The sequence below is a fragment of the Homo sapiens genome, chromosome 11 (genome assembly GCF_000001405.40).
Source record: "Homo sapiens chromosome 11, GRCh38.p14 Primary Assembly".
Lineage (NCBI taxonomy): Eukaryota > Metazoa > Chordata > Mammalia > Primates > Hominidae > Homo > Homo sapiens.
The window spans coordinates 44,284,869-44,305,310 of NC_000011.10; the positions used below are offsets into that span (position 1 = coordinate 44,284,869).

The following is a 20,442-nucleotide window of genomic DNA, read 5'->3' on the forward strand; positions in this document are numbered from 1 at the left end:
AAAAAAAAATCAAGACAGACCAAAAGAAAATCACTCACACACATACACATACACACACACACACAAACACACACAGAGAAAACATTACTTTGTAAACTTTTGTGTTTTTTTTTGAGATGGAGTCTCGCTGTTGTCGCCCAGGCTGGAGTGCAGTGGTGCACTCTTGGCTCAGTGCAACCTCCGCCTCCCCGGTTCAAGCTATTCTCCTGCCGCAGCCTCCTGAGTAGCTGGGATTACAGGCACCCAGCACCACGCCCGGCTAATTTTTGTACTCTTAGTAGAGACAGGGTTTCGCCATGTTGGCCAGGCTGGTCTCGAACTCCTGACCTCAGATGATCTGCCTTCCTGGGCCTCCCAAAGTGCTGGGATTACAGGCGTGAGCCACCGTGCCCAGCCTATAAACATTTTAGTAAAATCTAACCATATTCCGTACCCCTTTCCATGCTGTTCTATATTCTTCTACCACACCATCCTTAATGGTTACGTAGCGAGAACAATCACTATTTTATTTAATCCATCCTTTTCTGTTGGGCTCACAGGTTTCTACTTGTTTGAAATCATAGCAGGTCTGTGATTTAAATCTCTCAATACATGCATGGCGATTCCCTTAGGAGAAGCTCCAAGAACTAGAAATATGAAGTTCAATTATCCACATATCTGAGGGTCTCTGAGAAACACGGCCAAGTTGTCTTCCAGAAACATGTAATGTCCTCAGCTACCACGGTGTCCCCTCCCACTTCAGAGCCAATAATGGTCATTATAGTGTTTTTAAAATCTTTGCCAGCACGATGGATGAAAGTGAGATCTTGTCTTTCCTTTTTTTTTTTTTATTTTTTAACTATGGAACATTTTATTTTTTGTTTTCTTCTGCTGTGAATTCCCTCTCCTGGGCTTTCAAAGCTCAGCCAAGGGCCACCCTTCTTCCTCCAGGACCTCCCTTGCCTCTTAAACACTGAATCCCCTGCTTTACAGCACCGGCTCATGGGCCTGCTCCCTCCCTAGACTGTGAGCTGGTCAGAGTGGGCCTCCCAGATGTACTGCTGGGGCCTGGGCCTCGTGTGAGTAAGGGCTCAGGACACACCCCTGGAATTAATGCAAATGCCTGTGTGTGCCTGGGTTGAGGGAGACTCCTCTGGGCTCCTTCTGCCTCTGGTTTGGCTGGGGCAGCTCTGCAGGCACAGCTGAGGGTGGCCAGTGTGTCTGCAGGAAAAGGCCCCAGGCCCTGGAGCTGGGCTCCAGACACAGGAGGTCCTTGGTCCCCTGCACACACTGCTTGTGTCAGGAGGCTGCTGCATGGAGTCGGAAGAAGGGACCTTTCAGGATGAGGGGGGTCGAGGAAACCAGCCACAGCGCAGGGCAGGAAGGACCAAAGATGACCCCGGCAGCTCCCTGGCCCTGGACAAACCTCTTGCCTTCTGTTTGCTCAGCTCAACAACATTGCATGAATTCCTGCCAGGGAGGGGTATGAGAAGAGGAGATGGAGGGGCACAGCCCTGTGGGAAGCCAAGACTGAAGAGGAGTCCCCGGCCCTGGCTGCTTACCCAGAAGGCTAAGCATTCAGGTTCCAGGGCCCAACTCCCAGCAGGCCAAGATCAAGACTGCAGTTGTGCATGCTGGCCACCAGGAGGCACTGCAGTTCCAATAAAGTCACTGGACGGAAGGTGATGATCCTGGGGCCCCAGTGCCTAATGAGGTTTCTAGACGTTTGTTTGAAGACCCAGGTCCTAGCTGGGAGGATTTGCCACTCAAGCAGTAATTCAGCCCTACTACGCGTCTGCCACCATTCCAGCACTACAAGGGACAAAGAGATGGATGGGGCGGGTCGCTGGCCTTCCTTGCAGGGGTCTTTCCTCCCCTAGTTCTGGGTATTTTCACATTCCTGCCTCATTCCAGTCTCCTCAGAATTCCCACACTGTGGCCCCAGCATCCTCATTGGACAGACGGTCAAAGTGAGGCGCCGAGAGAAGGGACCCACCAGTGTCACTAGTGACTGAGTGACAGACAGGCTGAGACCTGGGCTCTTTTTCATTCCTTAAGTGGCCTCCCTTTGGAGACCCATGGGGATTCCTTGGCCCTCCAGAGAGGGTGGCGCACAGTGGGTGCTCAGGAAACTGACTAACTTGCAAAAGCCTTTGCCTTGCAAAAGCTCCCTAGGACACCCCTGTCGTTTGGCCCAGCGGCTTTCCATGTGGCTGGCAGACTTGTTACCAGCTTCCCCGTGGGTTCTTCCCGAGGCAGGCATCCGCCGAGGCAGGGTCTGCCACCCCGTCCTCCACTGCTCCGCCCTCACACAGAAGCTCTCTCAGTTCTTCCTGCAATGGCAGGGGTGAGTGGGGAGGACTGTTTTTCTCTTAGTCTAGAGATGGAGTGGGCTTCCCAGAGTCCAGGAACGAAAAGGGATTAATGCTGGGCTCTCGCAAAAACAAAAAACAAACAAACAAACTAAACAAAACCAGGAACTGGGCTTTGTACTTTACAAAGTACTAGGGCATCTATTATGCCACCAGTAGGGTTCCAGCCTCTTTACAACCGCCAGGTTTCCATTTTATAGCCCCAGAAACTGAGGCCAGAGGGGGTAAATGCCTTGCTAAGAATCAATAACTGTTAAGAAGGTCCAGGGGTGGTGGTTCATGCCTGTAATCCCAACATTTTGGGAGGCCGAGGTGGGAGAGTCACTTGACCCCAGAGTTCCATCTAGCCTGGGTGACAGAGGCAGAGACCTGTCTCAAAAAAAAAAGAAAAGAAAAGAAAAGAAAACAAAAAACTGGTAAGAGGCAGAGCTGAGACTTGAATCTCATGCCTGGAGCATGCCTACTGGGCCCTCCTGGGGTGGATGCTGTGGGTGGGACTGGGACAGGCAGACAGGAGACAGGGTCAAGGAGGAAGGGAGGAAGTCACAGGAGAATGGCTGCTCTCAGCTGCCTCAAGAGATTGGCCCCCTTGCAACAACCTTCAAGGCTGCCCCTGATCAAACTGCTCTGCTGAAGATCAACTTCATTGACCATCTGGGACCTCAGATGTGGACCAGTGCCTTGTTTCAGGGCCTACACACACTGAAGTACTTAGAGGCAAAGAGGCATATGAGTCATATGTCTGCAACTTACTCTTTTTTTGTTTGTTTGTTTTTAGACAAAGTCTTGCTCTGTTGCCCAGGCTAGAGTGCAGTGGCACAATCTTGACTAACTGCAACCTCTGCCTCCCGGGTTCAAGTGATTCCCTATGTTGGCCAGGCTGGTCTCGAACTCCTGACCTCAGGTGATCCACCTTCCTCGACCTCCCAAAGTGCTGGGATTACAGGCATGAGCCACTGCGCCCAGCCTGCAACTTACTGTTAAATGATACAGCTGTATATCGTATGCATGTATATCAATACATACATAAACAGAGCATATGCACAGAGAGAGACACAGAGAGAGACCCAGAGAGATTGAAAATAATGCAAATATGGCAAAACATCACCATTTGGGGAGTCAGCATAAAAGGCATCTGGGAATTCTTTGTAGTCCACTTATAACTTTAAGTGTAATACTGTATCAAAATAAAAAGGTTTTTAAAAGAAAAGGTATGTGGACTAATGGAAAGAAGGCACCTTCCCTAGGAACCCCTCTTGTGAAGCTGGCATATGTAATCATTTGAACAGGACCTGGATGAGTTTACCTGGCAACCTCCCCGCCTTCCCCTCATCACCACCACCATTCATAATTCTACAAGGGGCCTTGTACGTTGCAATAAAAATCACAAGACAAATGCCAACTCTGGGAGCACACATTGCTCCCCAGCCCTCTGGAAGCCCTCACTCCCGTGGAAGCCACTGTGACCCAATTAGAACATGGGGCTCCTTTAAGCAGCTCTTCTGAGAGCTGTAGGAGACCAAGGTCAAGCTACTGTTGGAACTTAAAAGTTTAAAAAGTACTTTAATTTTTGAGTCTACTGTAATTTCAACTGTCCTACAGTTAGTCCAAATGAGTAAAGTTTCCTTGTATAAAAAAAAGAAATGGTGGAAAGAAAGAACCCTAAACTTTGTCCAGCCCTCAGCCCCCATGGCCCCTCTGCCAAGGCCTGGGTCCCCTCCATCCCCCAGCTTGTGTCTGGAATTTGTCTTTCCTGTTCTCTCCCCCACCCTGTGTCTTGCCTTACTGATTCATTCAGAGCTTCCCTTAGGAATCATGGCCTAGTGGAAGAGATGCATGAGGGACAAGCACGGTCAAGTGTTCCAGGGTCCCCAGGGCAAAAGTCTTGTTTCCCAGACACGGCAGGGCCCACAGAAAGGAGCGGTCAATTTTGGTTGAAAAGGTCGGAGAAGGCCTCTGCAATGGAGTGGCTCTTGAATTGGGTATTGCCAGTCAAGGAAGGCTCGGCAAGGCATGTTGCATTTTATGGTAAAACAAGATACCAAGATACCATCCCCTCACCCCAAATAGGGCAAATCCCAAATTACCAAGCTCCTTAGACAGGAGCTCTCCAACCAGGGCTGATTACAACCATGACAGCAATAATGTAATGCCTTGTATTCGTGTTGCCCTGACCCACCCACTATCTCCTCTGACCCTCCCCAGATCCCATGAGGTCAGTGTTGGTATCTCTGTTTCACAGATGAGAAAACTGAGGTCCAGTGAAGATGAATAACTTGCTCAAGATCACATAGCTAGGAGGGGCAGACTGGATGGTCCCATGCCAAGTCCACTGCCTTTCAAGGTGGTGATGAGTTATCTTTCTAACATGGAGGGGTCAGGCAGGCTTCATTTTGTTCTAAGGGGGCATTGCTGAGCCACTGGGGTCATTTCTATCTCAAAGGACTAGGGTAAACCAAGCTTCAGGGTCTCCATGAGAAGCCCATGTATGATCTAACACTTGGAGATCACTTCCTGATGCCTCCTGGGGTGGGATGGGTGTTCCAGCTTCAGTCTGGGCTCTAAGTGCCCCTGTCAGCTTCTCTCCTCAAGGAGGCTAGAAGTTTCCCGGCTCCTCGTCCCATCCCCAAGCTCCATCTCATGGCGTGGGTGGTTGGATGAGACCCTGTCCCCGGCAGGACCCACTGCCAGAGAAACAGAGTCTCCCATGCTCTCCCCTATCCCAGCAATACGTCCGCAGGGTTCAGAGACCCCACTGGACCAGACCCTCCCTTCACAGCCAAGATGCGGAGGCCCAGAGCAAGGTCATACTGCCTGATAATGGAAGGGCCAGGACTTGAACCCTGCACCTCCTGCATCCAGCCCTGTGGTCTGTCTGCCCATTGTCCCTCTCAAGCCCCCTAAACCATGTGGCCCTGGGCGTGTCCCAAGACATCTCTCACTTAATTCCCCCAAGCCTCTGTTTCCCTTCTGTAGCAGAAAGAATCCTGCAGCTCCACCACCTTCACCAAGACACTGTAATATCACTTTCATCCAGAGGCTGGCGAGATGGAGGAGCTTAGATCCTGCACGAGGCAAAATGAAATGATTGAGAAGTCTTTGGGGTAGGACAGGCCTGGGCTTGGCCCCTGGCTCTGCCACTTATTTGCTACATTGATTCATTCAACAGCATTCCTGGAGCACCAGCTATGCACTGGGCAAAGTTCCAGGTGGTGAAAATATAAAGCCCAGTAAAACACAGTCCCTTCCTTCAAATGGCTCGCCTCAGTGACAGGGGCCATGGTTACAGTGCAGGGTGGTGACCAGGGCAGGGGCACCTAGCCCAGCCTTGGGGCGACTCCAGATCTCTGTAGAGGAGGTGTTTTGAAGCAGCAATGTTGTTGGAGAGGTCTGTTGAAGCTGTGTTTAGCTAACGCTTCACATAAGACTAGGGAATGCCAGTTTTCCCCATGAAAGAAATGGGAGCCGACTAAAGGAGATTATTAAGGAGGCTCCCAAGCCACCTTGTGGTTCTGCCACAGAAGGGTATCCTTGGAAAAGTGACTTGACCTTTGTGTGCTTCAGTTTCCTCATCTGTAAGATGAGGCTGAGAACATCCACATCCCAGAATGGCTGTGAGGTCTGACTGAAGTAGAGTGCAAGACGGCATATCCCCTGACCCACACACGGCACCCACTCTATCAATGGGACGTTGCCATGATATATTAACACAGTTATGATCTGGGGATGAATTTGGCCGTGGCAGCTGACAGCCAGGGCAACGTTGCTCAGCCTGCAACTGTGTCACCCCCACCTGCTTCCTTCCCCAGGTGCATCCTCTCCAGTTCAGGTTTCCCGAGCGGCAGCTCCCAGAATGACATTTATGAACCATAAACCTCTGTCAAAAGTAGCTCCCAGGGTCCCTTTCAATGAAGGGCCCATTTCACATACATATAACAAAGACTATAAATGGGGTGAAACATTGGCAACTGCTGTAAAAATCAAATGTTAAATTTATTTGGTTATATAGACTTAAAAAAACTTTTAAAGAGTGGATTCACGGCAGCCTCTGCCTTTAGACTGTGCCCTCACCAAGGGCAGGGGAGGGGTGTTACGAGGCAGCGTTATCACTCGCCCTGCCTGTTGTCACTGTCTGGCACCCAAGTACGTGCTGAATTGAGCTAATCTTAAACAATTGAATTTCTTTCTTTCTTTCTTTCTTTTTTTGGAGACAGGGTCTTGCTCTGCTGCCCAGGCTGAAGTGCAGTGGTGCGATCTCGGCTCACTGCAACCTCCGCCTTCTGGGTTCAAGCGATTCTCCTGCCTCAGCCTTCCGTGTAGCTGAGGCTACAGGCACATGCCGCCACACCTGGCTTTTTGTGTTTTAGTAGAGACAGGGTTTCACTCTTGTTGTCCCGGCTGGTCTTGAACTCATGAGCTCAAGCAATCCGCCCGCCTCAGCCTCCCGAAGTGCTAGGATTACAGGCATGAGCCATTGCGCCTGGCCAAACAATTGAATTTCTTAGCCTGCAGAAGCAGCATATGATCCCAGAAAGAATGTGCTGCTTTCACCAACATCAAATCTTTTCTTTCTCAAATGTGCTCCTTCTTTAATTTTTATTTATGTATTTATTTATAGAGACGGAGTCTCGCTCTGTCACCCAGGCTGGAGTGCATTGATGCCATCTCGGCTAACTGCAACCTCTGCCCCCCAGGTTCAAGCCATTCTTCTGCCTCAGCCTCCCGAGTAGCTGGGATTACCAGCACTGGTCACTGCACCTGGCTAATTTTTGTACTTTTAGTAGAGGTGGGGTTTCACCATCTTGGCCAGGCTGGTCTTGAACTCCTGACCTCGAGATCCACCCTCCTCGGCCTCCCAAAGTGCTGGGATTACAGGTGTGAGCCACCTCGCCTGGCCCAAATATACTCATTCCAATCTAGAGAATCACTTACAAACTGAAAAAGCAACAAGGCTTTTCTCCCCTTGGATGAGAAAGGGAAAGTAATGGCTCAATTAATTATAAGATTGCTTTTTTTTTTTCTGTTGCCTAGGCTGGAGCACAGTGGTACAATCACAGCTCACTGCAGCCTCAACCTCCTGGGCTCAAGCAATCCTCCCTCCTCAGCCTCCTGAGTAGCTGGTACTATGGGCACACAACATCACAGCTGGCTAATTAAATTTTTTTTTTTTTTTTTTTTTTTGTAGAGACGAGGTGTCACTATGTTGCCCAGGCTGGTCTCAAACTCCTGGATTCAAGCAATTGTCTCACCTCAGCCTCCCAAAGTGCTGGAATACAGGCATGAGCCACCATGCCCAGTCCTAGTTTGTACTTTAGGAAAGTCATCAACTTCCTTAAAGTTGATAAGAATGGGAAAGATTCTTCAATATTTGCTTTTTAAAAAATCCACATTTACAACTATAAAATAGTTAACAATTCAAAATATCTAAAGGATAATTATACCTAAAAGTTTTGGTTGGTGTTTTTGTATAAATGACTGGGATTTGGAGTAGATGGGTTCCCAGGATTTTGCCTATCACATATAGTAAGGATAAAATATAAATAATCAATGTTTCAGCATTCACAATTAACATGTTAGTTAAAAATGGTTCTTTTGGCCCCGCATGGTAGCTCATGCCTGTAATCCCAGCACTTTGGGAAGCCAACGTGGGCAGACTGCCTGAGCTCAGGAGTTTGAGACCAGCCTGGGCAACACAGTAAGACCCCCATCTCTATAAAAAAAATTTTTAAATTAGCTGGGCGTGGTGGCACAAGCCTGTAGTCCCAGCTACTCAGGAGGCTGAAGCAGGAGAACTGCTTGAGCCCAGGAGGTTGTGGCTGCAGTGGGCCATGATTTAGCCATTGAATTCCAGCCTGGGTGATAGTGAGACCCTGTCTGAGAGAAGGAAGGAAGGAAGGAAGGAAGGAAGGAAGGAAGGAAGGAAGGAAGGAAGGAAGGAAGGAAGGAAGGAAGCAGGCAGGCAGGGAGGGAGGGAGGGAGGGAGGGAAGGAAGGAAGAAAATGGTTTTTTCATTGACTTCTGCTCATCTGAACAAAATAAAAAATTCAAAAAAGTCTCTTCTTTAAAATGCATGATGTGGCCAGGTGCAGTGTCTCACACTTGTAATCCCAGCACTTTGGGAGGCTGAGGTGGGCGGATCACCTGAGGTCAGGAGTTCGAGACCAGCCTGGCCAACATGGCAAAACCCCATCTTAAAAAAAGAAAAAAAAATATATATATAATGCATGGTGTGTCCCTTCTACCAAGCAAACCTTAATCCACAGCGAACGTGAGACAAATACATCTCTTTTCCACCTGTTACTACTTCTTGGCAGGATGGATCCCCTGCAACGGGATAGATCTCCTGAGAGGATACTTTGTGTAGCACAAAACTGGGCTCTGTGGAATCTTCTCTCATGGGGCTAAATCCTGGGGGATGCATTAATACAGCAGAGCTTGGGCACATACATTCCCTGAGGAGGCCTGGCCCTCACTGTCCACCTGCCACATGGTACAAGTAATATTTCCAAACTGGCCTCTTGCCCCTGGCTTCGCCAACACTGGGCTAGTGAGGAGGCTATTACTCGTTCTGTTTAGAAGGGTTTGTCTCCTCCTTCTTTACCCACAGGAGCTGCTCCCACATATCACATGGGGGTCCTGGGCTGGGCTGGCCTGGTTCTCAGGATGGCTCTGGAGGGAGGAGGGAGTGGTGTCTGGGCGGTCAGGGGACATGGTCATCATTTCAGTAGATGGGCGAAGATGGTGTAGCCCACGTACAACATGCAGTGTGCTGAAAACCCCTCCCAGTGCACCCCCTCCACCGTCTACAGAGCTCTCACATGCTGGTCAAGTCTGATGGGCACATAGGCATGAGGGCATCCAGGCAGTGGGCATGAGCCCCCTGGGCAGGGGAGGAAAAAGGCTCTTTGGCTTCAGGAGATCTGGGTTCAATTCACAGCGGGACAGCCTCACCTTCCTCATCTTCAAATTGAGGATACTAATATCTCCCAGTGGGTTTCCACAAAAAGTCTCAGTCCAGGTGTGGCCAAGGGCAATGCCCACCAGGTGCTTTCTTAATTGCAGATGGGGCCCAGGAAGCTGGGGCCCAGGAAGGGTGCAGAGGTTGCCTGACATTCCCTGAGCCCGATTCTCTGTGCTCAGCCCTGTGCTGATCAGAGAGGAACACAGCAGAACCCCTGCCCTGGGGACAGGCTGAAGTTCTGGGTCAAATAAACACAGAAAACACATTCAGCAGGGAGAGAGTTATTCCCCAGCTCATGACACATGTGTACGAGGTGCAGCAGCCTATGGGGAGGAGGGGCCTGAGGGGCCTGGGTGGCCTTTGTCCCTCCTTGAAGCCTGCCCCCGCTGCGTTAGGTAGAGATGGCAGCCCCCGCCCCTCCCATCACTCATCCATGTTTTAAAAGACAATGTCAACCACACAGTAATCATAGATTCAGTAATAATTTCTTCATTTTCCAACTCTATGCATCCCAGTCAACTTTAACTGCCTGTCAAGGTTTCCGGCCAGTCTGATAGAGTCAAGGTTCCAGCAAAATCTTATCAATCATAACAGCTAACATTGACTGAGCACTTACTATGCTCCAGGAACTGTTCTAAGATCCTTACCTATTTATTTATTTATTTATTTATTTATTTATTTATTTAGAGACAGAGTTTCGCTCTTCTTGCCCAGGCTGGAGTGCAATGGTGTGGTCTCGGCTCACTGCAACCTCTGCCTCCTGGGTTCAAGTGATTCTCCTGCCTCAGCCTCCCTAGTAGCTGGGATTACAGGCGCCCACCACCACGCCCAGCTAATTTTTTGTATTTTTAGTAGAGACAGGGTTTCACTATGTTGGCCAGGCTGGTCTCAAACTCCTGACCTCAGGCAATCCACCTGCCTCGGCCTCCCAAAGTGCTGGGATTACAGATGTGAGCAACCACACCTGGCTTTGTCCTTGCCTATTTTACCTTATTTAAGCCTCACCCTATCACTAACAGGTAGACATGATTCTTATCCCCACTTTACAGGTAAAGAAACTGAGGCAAAGAGGTCAACTAATTTGCCCAAGGTCACTCAGCTATGTGGGCTGAAATCTGTTTCCAGGTCCTGAGCTTCATGGGCTTCTCCAAACCAAAGGCATCTGAAGCATCAAGCAGCCTGTGTAGCACAATTGTGGAATGAACAGTTTCCATGATTTTCCAAGAACCCTAGAAATTATGCCTTAGGGCACATGGCTGGAAGACCAGGCTCAAGCAGGCCTCTGTTTAGTCACCTAGGCCGGGGAAGTTCCTAGGAAGGGGAGCCGGGGACAGCTACTTCTCTGCAGCTGTGCTCCCCTTGGACTCTGCTGTCTAGTCCCTGGAGCCCCAGCCCCTGGTTGTGCCATTCACTGGATGGCCTAGGGTAGGGGACAGGGAGTTGCAAGTGCCTCTTTTGGGAATCTAACAGAAAATCTTCAAAATATGCATGGGGCCAACAGCATGGAGCCACTGGATGCTTCCTTCTTGGAGCTCCTCCAAGCTCCGCTGGAAGGATTCTGGAATCATCTTAATAAAGGAAGTGGTCCCAGATGTGCGCATCTCAGGAGGTGGGTGTATAGACCCTCAGAGCACAAAAGAATTTCCCCAAAGGCCACGTCCTCATGGGATGGTCAACTGAAGGGGCAGAGGGGCCCCCGAATATCCAGGGGCCTAGCCAGGGCCAAGACTGTGGCTCTAGAGTCCTCGCCTTTGGCTCTGCCCTCCACCCCTTCTCACCAGCTCCAGGTCCCGGAAAACAAATGTGTCCTTGAGCTGAATTTCTGTGACCTGTTGGTCACTGGCCTGCAGGCAAGGAGATGAACGGATGGCCTACAAGGGTCCTTGTACATTCTGCAATCCTGGACTTCACATCAGAAGATCATTCAGGGGCCAGATAGACAAATGCAACAGAATAGAGACCAGATGTAAACTCTCAAATACATGCGCAATTGATTTTCAACAAAGGTCCCAAGACCGGTCGATGAGAAAAGGGCCATCTTTTCTACAAATGGTGCTGGGAAAAGTGGATATCCCCATAAGGAAGAATGAAGTTGGAGAGCCTTATGTTACGTCATATTCAAAATTAAAGTCATCAAAGACCTAAACCTAAGAGCTAAACTATAAAGCTCTTAAAAGAAGACATAGGCGAAAATCCTCCTGACACTGGAGTTATTGACGATTTCTTGAATATGACACCAAAAGCACAGACAACAAAATAAAGAAATTGAAAAATTGTACTTCTTCATCAAAATGTAAAACTTCTGTGCATCAAAGGACAGTATCCAGGGAGTGAAAGGACAATCCATAGAATGAGAAGAAATATTCGCAAATCATGTATCTGAAAAGGAATTAATATCCAGAATTCCTATGACTGAAGAACAAGGAAACAAACAACCCCATTCAAAAATGGGCAAAGTACTTGAATACACTTCTCCAAAGGAGATACACAAATGGCCAGACGCCAAAGGAGAATACTGTATGATTCCACCTATAAGAGGTACCTAAGGCCAGGTGCGGTGGCTCACACCTGTAATCCCAGCACTTTGGGAGGCTGAGGCGGGTGGATCACCTGAGGTCAGGAGTTCAAGACCAGCCTGGCCAATGTGGCAAAACCCCATCTCTACTAAAAACACAAAAATTAGGCAGGTGTGGTGGTGGGTGCCTGTAATCCCAGCTACTTGGGAGGCTGAGGCAAGAGAATCGCTTGAACCCGGGAGGTGGAGATTGCAGTGAGCTGAGATTGCACCATTTCATTCCAGCCTGGGCAACAAGAGTGAAACTCTGTCTCAAAAAAAAAAAAAAAAAAAAAAGGTACCTACAGTAGGAAAATCCACAGAGAGAGAGTAGAATAGAGGTCACTTGGGTGGGGGGTCAAGGGTGTGATGGCGGTTCCCGTTTAATAGGTATGGAGTTTCTGTTTGGGATGATGAAAAAGTTCTGGAAACAGTGGTGATGGTTACACAATATTGTGGGTGTACTTAATGCCACTGAAAGGTTCACTTGTAGATGTTAAAGTGGTAGCATTTTATGCTATGTATATTTTACCACAATAAAAAGTTCATTCTTAATTAAAATAAAGATTTTGAATGCAAAAAGCAAAGGCCATACTGAACCATGCAAAGAACACTCAGCCTGGGGTCTCACTGTTTTGCTCAGAGCCCTCCAGTGGCTTCCCCAAAGTCTGAACCCTTTGGTAGAAAATAAATGGCCCAGGGGCCAGGCGCGGTGGCTTATGCTTGTAATCCCAGCAATTTGGGAGGCTGAGGCGGGAGGATCACTTGAGTCTAGGAGTTCAAGACCAGCCTGGGCAGCATGGAGAAACCCTGTCTCTACTAAAAATACAAAAGTTAACTGGGCGTGGTGACGAGCCTGTAGTCCCAGCTACTTGGGAGGCTGAGGTGGGAGGATCACTTAAGCCTGGGAGGCAGAGGTTGCAGTGAGCTGAGATTGCGCCACTGCACTCCAGCCTGGGTGACCGAGTGAGACCTTGTCTCAAAAAATAATAAAATAAAATAAAATAAAATAAAAAGCTCTCTTCAGCTGTGCCCCTGCCATTCCTCAGCCCACCTCACCGGCATGCATCATGCCCCTGCACTCCACACACTTGCTTCATGTTCTTCCCTTACCCGAAGACTTAGTTTGTGCTGTTTCCTGAGTCTAGAGGGCCTCTTTCATCTCCTTCAGCTGGTGAGCTCCTATTCAACTTTCAAGGTCCACTTCGAATGTCCATGCTCAGGAAGCCCCAATCCATTCACCTTCCCTGGGGATTCCCATGGCATGTAGCACATTCTAACCAGGCTATGGGCTCTCTGAGGGCAGGAGCCAGTTCATTCACTGCCAAACACTCTGGTCCCTGCCTGACACAGAAGTGCCAGGCTGAAGGATCTGTTGGATGTAAGGAGGAGCTTTTGCCAGGCGCACACTCCTCCATGCATTCCTTCTGAGCTGTTCCCCCTCTTTGAACTTTGGCTTCCATCTGTAAAATGGAGATTCAATTCCTCCACCTAGGCCTTTGGTGAGACTCAGGGGACCATGGATGTTCAAGTGCCCTCAGATTGCATATGCCGGGGTGGGACGGGTGGACGGAATCATGGGTGTGCTGGGAAGAGCCCAGGCCTTGGAGCCGGATGCCCTGCTGGGAACCCGGGTGAGGTCAGATGGCATCCTGGCCAGAAGAGAGGGCTGCATCCCTTGCAGGTGAGTCTCAGAATCCCAGGGTGGAGGATGAGTGAATGGGGGACTAAGGGAGGAACCTCAGCAGCTCTCAGGCAGCACCCTGGGCAGGTGGCAGGAATGGGGGTGCCAGCGGGCAGGACACGGAACTCACTGTAGGGAATGGGGGAGACCTGAGGAGGAGAGTTGGGGATGAAGGGAGAAAACCATTTGGCTAGAGCCGACCCCGGGGGCTGTGGCAGTCAGACCGCAGGCCTGTGGCCAGTGGGGTGAGACCCAAAAGAGGAGCAGTGAGGAAAAGGGGTACTCCTCCGACTGCTAGAGTTGGAGAAGACCAAGACTTGTGCTAAATAGAGCTACCCAGAGCCTCGCTGCTCCTACACCCCACAGGAAACCCTGCAAAAAAAAAAAAATCAATAATTTTCTACCAGAATGCAAGAGAACGACAAAGCAGGCTCTCACCCCAGGCCTCCATTCAAAGGAAGGATGAACGAAGAGAGAGTGGAAAGACTTACAGAGTTCCTAGCATGTTCCCCTCCTGTAAGATCCCTTCATTCATTCACTCAGCAACAGACATTTATTGAGCATCTACTATATAGACTAGCTCCAGGCTCTGGGGAAAGTTGGAATCAAAACAGACAAAGCCTCCTGCGGTCTCTCATGTTTCCTAGAGGGCACTGTTCCCACAGATGCTCCTCAGCTCCACCCTACCTTGATCAGAGGTTCTCTCATGTTCCTGAAACTTCTGGAAACTCATGCAGTCATTCCTCATACCAGCTATGAGGCCCTATGCCATGCCTGGGACACTGTTTTCACCTGGTACAGGTGAGGAAGCTGTGCCCAAGGTCACAGAGTCAGGTGTAGAACTTCAACCTGACAGGTGCCGAAATTTACTCCTGACACTACTTGTCTTCTGCATCCCCGGTTGTGAAGCTGAGAAGAACGCTTTGGGGGCCATGGTTTTTTTTTTTTTTTTTTTTTTTGTGAGATGGATCTTGCTCTGTCACCCAGGCTGGAGTGCAGTGGCAGGATCTCGGCTCACTGCAAGCTCCGCCTCCCGGGTTCACACCATTCTCCTGCCTCAGTCTCCCAAGTAGCTGGGACTACAGGCGCCCGCCACCACGCCCGGCTAATTTTTTGTATTTTTGGTAGAGACAGGGTTTCACCGTGTTAGCCAGGATGGTCTCAATCTCCTGACTTTGTGATCCGCCCGCCTAGGCCTCCCAAAATGCTGGGATTACGGGCATGAGCCACTGCACCGTGCCCTGGGGGCCATGTTTGTAAGACCCTGTCTTTCATCTCCACATCATCTGGGATGGAATTAGGGTTATCTCAAGTCTAATCAGGATCATTCTAGAACAGGATGCCTTTTAGGTTTCTTGGAGCCCTCGGCCAGCAAGACTCGACTCTTCCTTCCTGGCTGTCTCACTGTGGACGAGTTACTTATCTTCCATGAACCTCAGTTTTCATCCACGAAATGGGGATGATAATAGTACCAATCTCATAGGATTGTGATGGTGATTAAGTGAAATCATGCATAAGCAGCACTGGTGTACTGCCTGGCGCACAGGCAGGGACGCTCAGTTGTTCTGGGCTGTCTCATGGTTCTGCAGCAGCAGCCAACTCTAAGCCTTCTTTGCCTTAAAACCCATTATTGTCTCTGTCCTGTAGATGGGAAAACTCAGGCCAGGAGCCAGGCCTGGCATCCCAGACTCTTAACCTTTGGCAGACTGGACCAGCCTTCCCCCTTTCCTGGTACAATGAATGGGGAAGAGTGTGGGGTCCTGAGGCATCTTGAGGATTCTGGAGGGCCAATTCACCCCTCTTGGTGAATATCACAGAACCCCAAGGCCTCTGAAACCACTGAGTCCCATGAAGAAGGTTCAGAGATGGGGAGGCTGAGGCCACAACAGGGGAGCCATGCAGTAGAGCTATGTGCATGTTTGTCTTCCCCATTTGAAAGTGAGCTCCCTCCTTGAAGTCAGAGGCCATGGAGCTGGAGTTGTCCCATCTCCATGCTGGGATGTGAGCCAGGTGTGAATGGATCCTTGTGGCCACATAGAGACATCGGGGAGGCTCACATATCCAGGAGGACCCCAAACTCTACATACACACTCTAAAACCTGATCAGAACCCCACCACTATCATTTGCAATATCCTAGCACCCTCAAAGGGTATAGTGTGAGGGGTGGGGCAGAGAACCTGGTGGTGCAGGATGTACGGGGCAGACACACTACCTCTCTCCATCATCACATCCTCCTCATACTCCCCTCCCAGGTGGGACAGGGCCAAAGTGCCATTCAACACAGGGAGAAATGGAGTGGCACTAGAGAAGTAAGGGGGCTGTTATACATGACTATTTCCATAGAAAAACCAAGAGAAAGCATGGAGGGAGAAAAGGAGAAAGTCAAGAGAGAAGAAGCCTCAGGATTTCCAGCCACTAGAGAAAACTCATTGGCCTGGACAAATCCCAACTTCCCCCAACTTTCCTGCACCCTCCCCTTAAGTGGCTTCCAGTAAGCTACCAAACCCTGGTGGCGCCTGCACGCCCCAGGGCAAGCCAGCCTGACCTTCTCCTCAGAGCCTGAGTCAGGGCTTTCCCCATCTCAGGGCCCATCCCACTGAACTGGAATTTCAAGGTCACTTGTCTGTCTCTGCCTCTGGACCTGAAGGCAGGGGCTGCATCCAGAGCTTCCCAGAATACCCCACAAGGCTTGGCATAGTGACAGGCAAAGTTTGGTGAGCCTTGCGTAAATGGAATCAAGCCTCTCAGTCCCCTTTGTCTGTGAAATAAGACATGTGGGCCAGGAGATGACTGCCATCTCTTCCAACCTTGAGTGAGACCCCCCAACATGTCACCATGACCCATTGTGTGTGTGCTGCAGGGTCAGGGGAGGTACCAGTTTCCTCGATGTAACCAAAGGCCCTCAGGGCCTGGTGGACAGTCCTACACAGTGGGAGGAGTTGGTCATCTGGCCTCAGCTGACCCTGGCTTGTGGTTTTCAAGAACTTAGGAAAAGAAAACCCAGCTTGGGGAGCTGGGCAGAGAGCAGGAGTCCCAGCCTGGTGGGGCTGCATTAGAGTCAGGTCCCTGCAATCCCACCAGGGATTCCACGGGTGCTCTCCTGCTGTCCTCTAATGCCCAGGAGCTCATGGCGGGGTCTGCTTTACTTCTAAGGAGACTGAGGCAGAACTGCAAGCATCTGCCCTATTTGATGCACAGAGAGAGTGCAACTTACTGGACTTATTGCAGGAGTCGCATCCAACAAGAGAGCGGGTGAGTGGATTGGATTCCCCAACACTTTCTGCCTTTCCACCCATTGTAGTGGAAGGAGGAGAACTCGGTGGGTTCCTGCCCTCCTACTAACCTGGCTGTGGGGGTCCATTTCCCCTTGGGCCTCAGTTTGCTCATGTGCTAAATGGGGTCAGCAGTGGGCACAGACAGTGCCAAGGACACGTCTCTTCCGCAGTGAGCCACACGGGACAGAGGGTATATTCCAGAGCTGGTGGCTTGTCAGACGGCCTCGCCGCAGTGTGGGTGGGCTGGATGGACCATGTTCGAGGGCCCCAGGATGACGCGGGGGGTGGTTGGGCCCCACCGGGGACTTGCCACAGGGAGATTCTGCCTGCCACTCGGTGAGTCAGCTGCTCCTGGGAGCCATGACCAGGGGCAGGAAGGCCACAGGCCATGATGCAAGGGCGCTTAGTCATTCTCCCTGGGGGCGCCTCTGGAGGCAGAGGCTATGCCACCCACAGACCCAGAGAAGCTCCAGAGCCGTGCACACGGGTACTCACCCTTGCACACCTGAGGCTCGCACACTGGGGGACACAGACACAAGTGCCAGAGGACAGACATGCCTTTCACCGGACTACACACAAACCCTCGGCCTCGCCCTGAAACACTCAGATAGCAGGACGTGGACCCAGAGAGAATGGGCACGGCACACACCGCTCACATTCATGCTGTGCACACGCTCACACAAACACCTAAGCTGGCTCCTGGGTGCACTTAACCATGTGGGGGCAACACTGCAGGAGACACCAGTTCTTCATTCATTCTTCCAGCCAGCGAACATTTGTTAAGCCCAACTGTACAAAACACTTGGAAGGACATAAGCCGTAACACAGGAGGCAGGGACTTGGCATGTTCTACCTCCTAGGAGAAGGTCCGCCCAGGGAAGGTGCTCCATAAATACTGGGATAGGGAAGATGAGTGGACACAGGGGCCATGAGCCCGGGGCCTCAGCTTGAGCCTGGTCACAAAGACACTTGCTTACCCCCTCCCTATTTGCATCCCAGTCCTGAGCCCAGAACCTGCATTCCACCATGGCCCTGTAGGACCTCTAGCCGGCTTTGTGTCCTGTGATGGCTCCCCACTCAGGACCTGTGTTAGCCTCCAGGGAAGCCTTTTCCACCCACCTTACCCCAGTTTCTCCTGGACAAAAATGCGTGTGGGGGTGAGGAGGGAAGACAAAGGGGGTGAAGGTGGGCCCAGACTGCTACCAGCACAGAAACTCCAAGAGGGTCTTTGGAAATTGTCAACACTCCTGCATTTCATACAGCTAAAATTCAGACCCCGGAGCAGAACATACTTCTCCAAGGCCATGGAGGAGTAGAGAATGCAAAGGTGGAGGCTGGGGTGATCTACACCGCAACTGTGGGCCCCGGTCCCCACGTGTGCCGCGCTGGACATCAGTGTCATGGTCCAAACCTCCCACAGCTTCCCAGCCTTCTCTGTTGTGGCCTTCAGAGCCCTGGAGAGCCAGTTGTTCTGCTCTGACCTGGGTCACCAGGTCCTGTCCCTCTACGAGGTGCGTGGGGCCAACATCCATGCTGGGCCTCCAGTTCAGAATGAAAATCCACTCTTAAAGAATCTGCTTTAAGAATCCGATGAAGCAAGCACTGGCTCCCTCTCTGCCCCCAATGTGCAGCGGCGCCAGTGCCCAGCAGCCTTGACCAAGCGGTCCCGAGTACAAGCGGCGCCTTCACCGGGAAAGATAGGTACTTGGCAGCCGGTGGCCCCTCTTACCCCGCCCGTATCTCCCAGTGACCCCCTCCTCACCAAAACGGCACCCTGGGAGCCGCGGAGCGCCACGGTGACCCTTCCAACTGCCTCTGGAGTCCAAATCCGAACCGGTCCGCGGCCCTGAGTACCACCCTACACACCCCAGCCTTGGCTCCTCAGAGCCTTGCCTCTGCGTGGCTCTTCCTCGCCGCTGAGCCACAACTCCCTTCCATTCCTCTCTTTCCTCGGCGCTGGCTGGTGCGGGTTGGGGTCAGGTGGAGAAGCCGCTCTTTGTTAAGGTGACAGAACGTGCTGGGGGTGGGGGCCGGGGCCAGGGCCGGTGCAACTAGGGGGCCGCTGCCCTTTCCTGGACACAGTGGAAGCTTCTTCCGCATCACCAAATTTTTGTCATCCTTTCTGAGGGACCTGCTTCCAGGCAGCACGCAAGTTGTTGTCCCGGGTTTACTCCGCACCCCTCTACTGGGTGAGGAAGGAGCATCTTGAATGGAGATGGGGGTGTCCCCGGTTTATACATCTGCAGAGAAGAGGTGTGCCGGGCTGCACCTCTGGAGGCCGCGGTAACTGATATTAGAGAAGACCCCGGTTGCAGCTGGGAAGGCTCACTGGCTGGAAAGAGGTGCCTCCTCCTTCCAGCAAAGGGCCCTGTTTGGAAGGGCTGCTTCTCACCTGTCTAGTGGCACCACAGGACGGTCGGCTTCCACTCGAATTCCCCCGGACGGTATCATCACATAGCCGGGTCCTCGCAGTGTTGGTTTCCCAATCCGATGACTGTCACCTCGGTGAGGACCTGTGCTGATGGCCGGAGAACCCTGCGCTGCGGGCGCACATGGCCAGGTGGCGCCTGGCAGGCGACGTCCGGGTGCAGGACGGCGCTCTTACCGCCCCACCCCAAACCGTTGCCTGGGCCTAGGTCCTTCGGCTTCCTGAACAGGGGTTTGGGGGGCTAAGGACGCTGAGGCTCCGGGGGCAGGAAGTTCTCTCTGGTTAAGCGTTCTCTCTTCTCTCCGGCATACACTCCCCTACCCACCCACCTCGCCTACCCTCGGGGCGAGAGGCTCACCAAGGCAGGGCGCGCCCCCCCCATGAATCATCCCAAGGCCTCTGAGCCGCGGGGGCTCCGGGCAACTATCCCCCTCCTCTCCTGGCCTCAGGCACCCCAGTCCAGGGGTCTGCAGAGAAGCCCGAAGCCCGGACAAACGCGCCGGACGTCAACAACCTCTCATCCCTGGCAGCAGCAAAGGCCAATATATTTCCATTTCTTATTTCAGTTTGCCACCAAAACAAAGCTGCGCGCGGCTGAGGGCAGGAAGGCGCTGAGACCGAGAAGAAGGGACGTCCCGGAGAAAGTGCGCCCAGCTGATCTTAGAAACCAGAGTCCTCCGGGACTTCGCCGAGATTTTCTGTAGGGCGTTTTAATCTGTTTTCCTACTGCGTGCCGGCGTCGCAGCGCGTGCGGCTCAGGGCTTGGTGACTCCGGCTTAGCCCGGCGGTCGCGGCGAGGTTCCTGGCGCAGCCGCTTGGAACTTCGCATTAGAATCGGGACCGCGCAAATGCCCTGGCTGAAGTGTCACCCTATTCAAGAAACACTGCTGTCAGGAACAAAATGGGGTCCCCGGTGCTCCGAAGTATCTTCTGAAATTTTCTTAAAACAACTTACAAAAAATGTTTTTGCTTTAACGTTTTACAACGTTTAAGGAAACATGTAAATGGTCTGTTTCTTTATCGAGATGGTCGTCCTAACTAACAGTGTACACATACATAACAATTCTTCCAACTTTCCTCCTCAGAGCTAAGCACTTCACTATATGTAAATTATAATAAAGAAAAGATTGTGCAAGATCATGCAAGTCGATTGACTTAAAATATTGAGTTTTAATCCAGGCCCTCTGT

At 51.3% G+C, this 20,442-nt stretch overlaps 1 protein-coding gene across 1 annotated transcript in view, besides 4 other annotated features; it reads right to left on the bottom strand.

The window, feature by feature from the left end:
- Nucleotides 1-20,442, bottom strand: part of ALX4 (ALX homeobox 4) — a 49,700-nt gene that overhangs the window by 24,429 nt on the left and 4,829 nt on the right. The gene's annotated exons all lie outside the window — the stretch shown is intronic.
- Nucleotides 738-1,711: an enhancer, noted in NCBI's record as "H3K4me1 hESC enhancer chr11:44307156-44308129 (GRCh37/hg19 assembly coordinates)". NCBI's record gives its function as "activates a minimal SCP1, AML or CMV promoter by ChIP-STARR-seq in primed H9 embryonic stem cells {active_cell/tissue: H9 hESC(primed)}" and the evidence as "EXISTENCE:reporter gene assay evidence [ECO:0000049][PMID:30033119]".
- Nucleotides 1,712-2,684: an enhancer, noted in NCBI's record as "H3K4me1 hESC enhancer chr11:44308130-44309102 (GRCh37/hg19 assembly coordinates)". NCBI's record gives its function as "activates a minimal SCP1, AML or CMV promoter by ChIP-STARR-seq in primed H9 embryonic stem cells {active_cell/tissue: H9 hESC(primed)}" and the evidence as "EXISTENCE:reporter gene assay evidence [ECO:0000049][PMID:30033119]".
- Nucleotides 18,057-18,602: an enhancer, noted in NCBI's record as "H3K27ac-H3K4me1 hESC enhancer chr11:44324475-44325020 (GRCh37/hg19 assembly coordinates)". NCBI's record gives its function as "activates a minimal SCP1, AML or CMV promoter by ChIP-STARR-seq in naive H9 embryonic stem cells {active_cell/tissue: H9 hESC(naive)}" and the evidence as "EXISTENCE:reporter gene assay evidence [ECO:0000049][PMID:30033119]".
- Nucleotides 18,603-19,148: an enhancer, noted in NCBI's record as "H3K27ac-H3K4me1 hESC enhancer chr11:44325021-44325566 (GRCh37/hg19 assembly coordinates)". NCBI's record gives its function as "activates a minimal SCP1, AML or CMV promoter by ChIP-STARR-seq in naive H9 embryonic stem cells {active_cell/tissue: H9 hESC(naive)}" and the evidence as "EXISTENCE:reporter gene assay evidence [ECO:0000049][PMID:30033119]".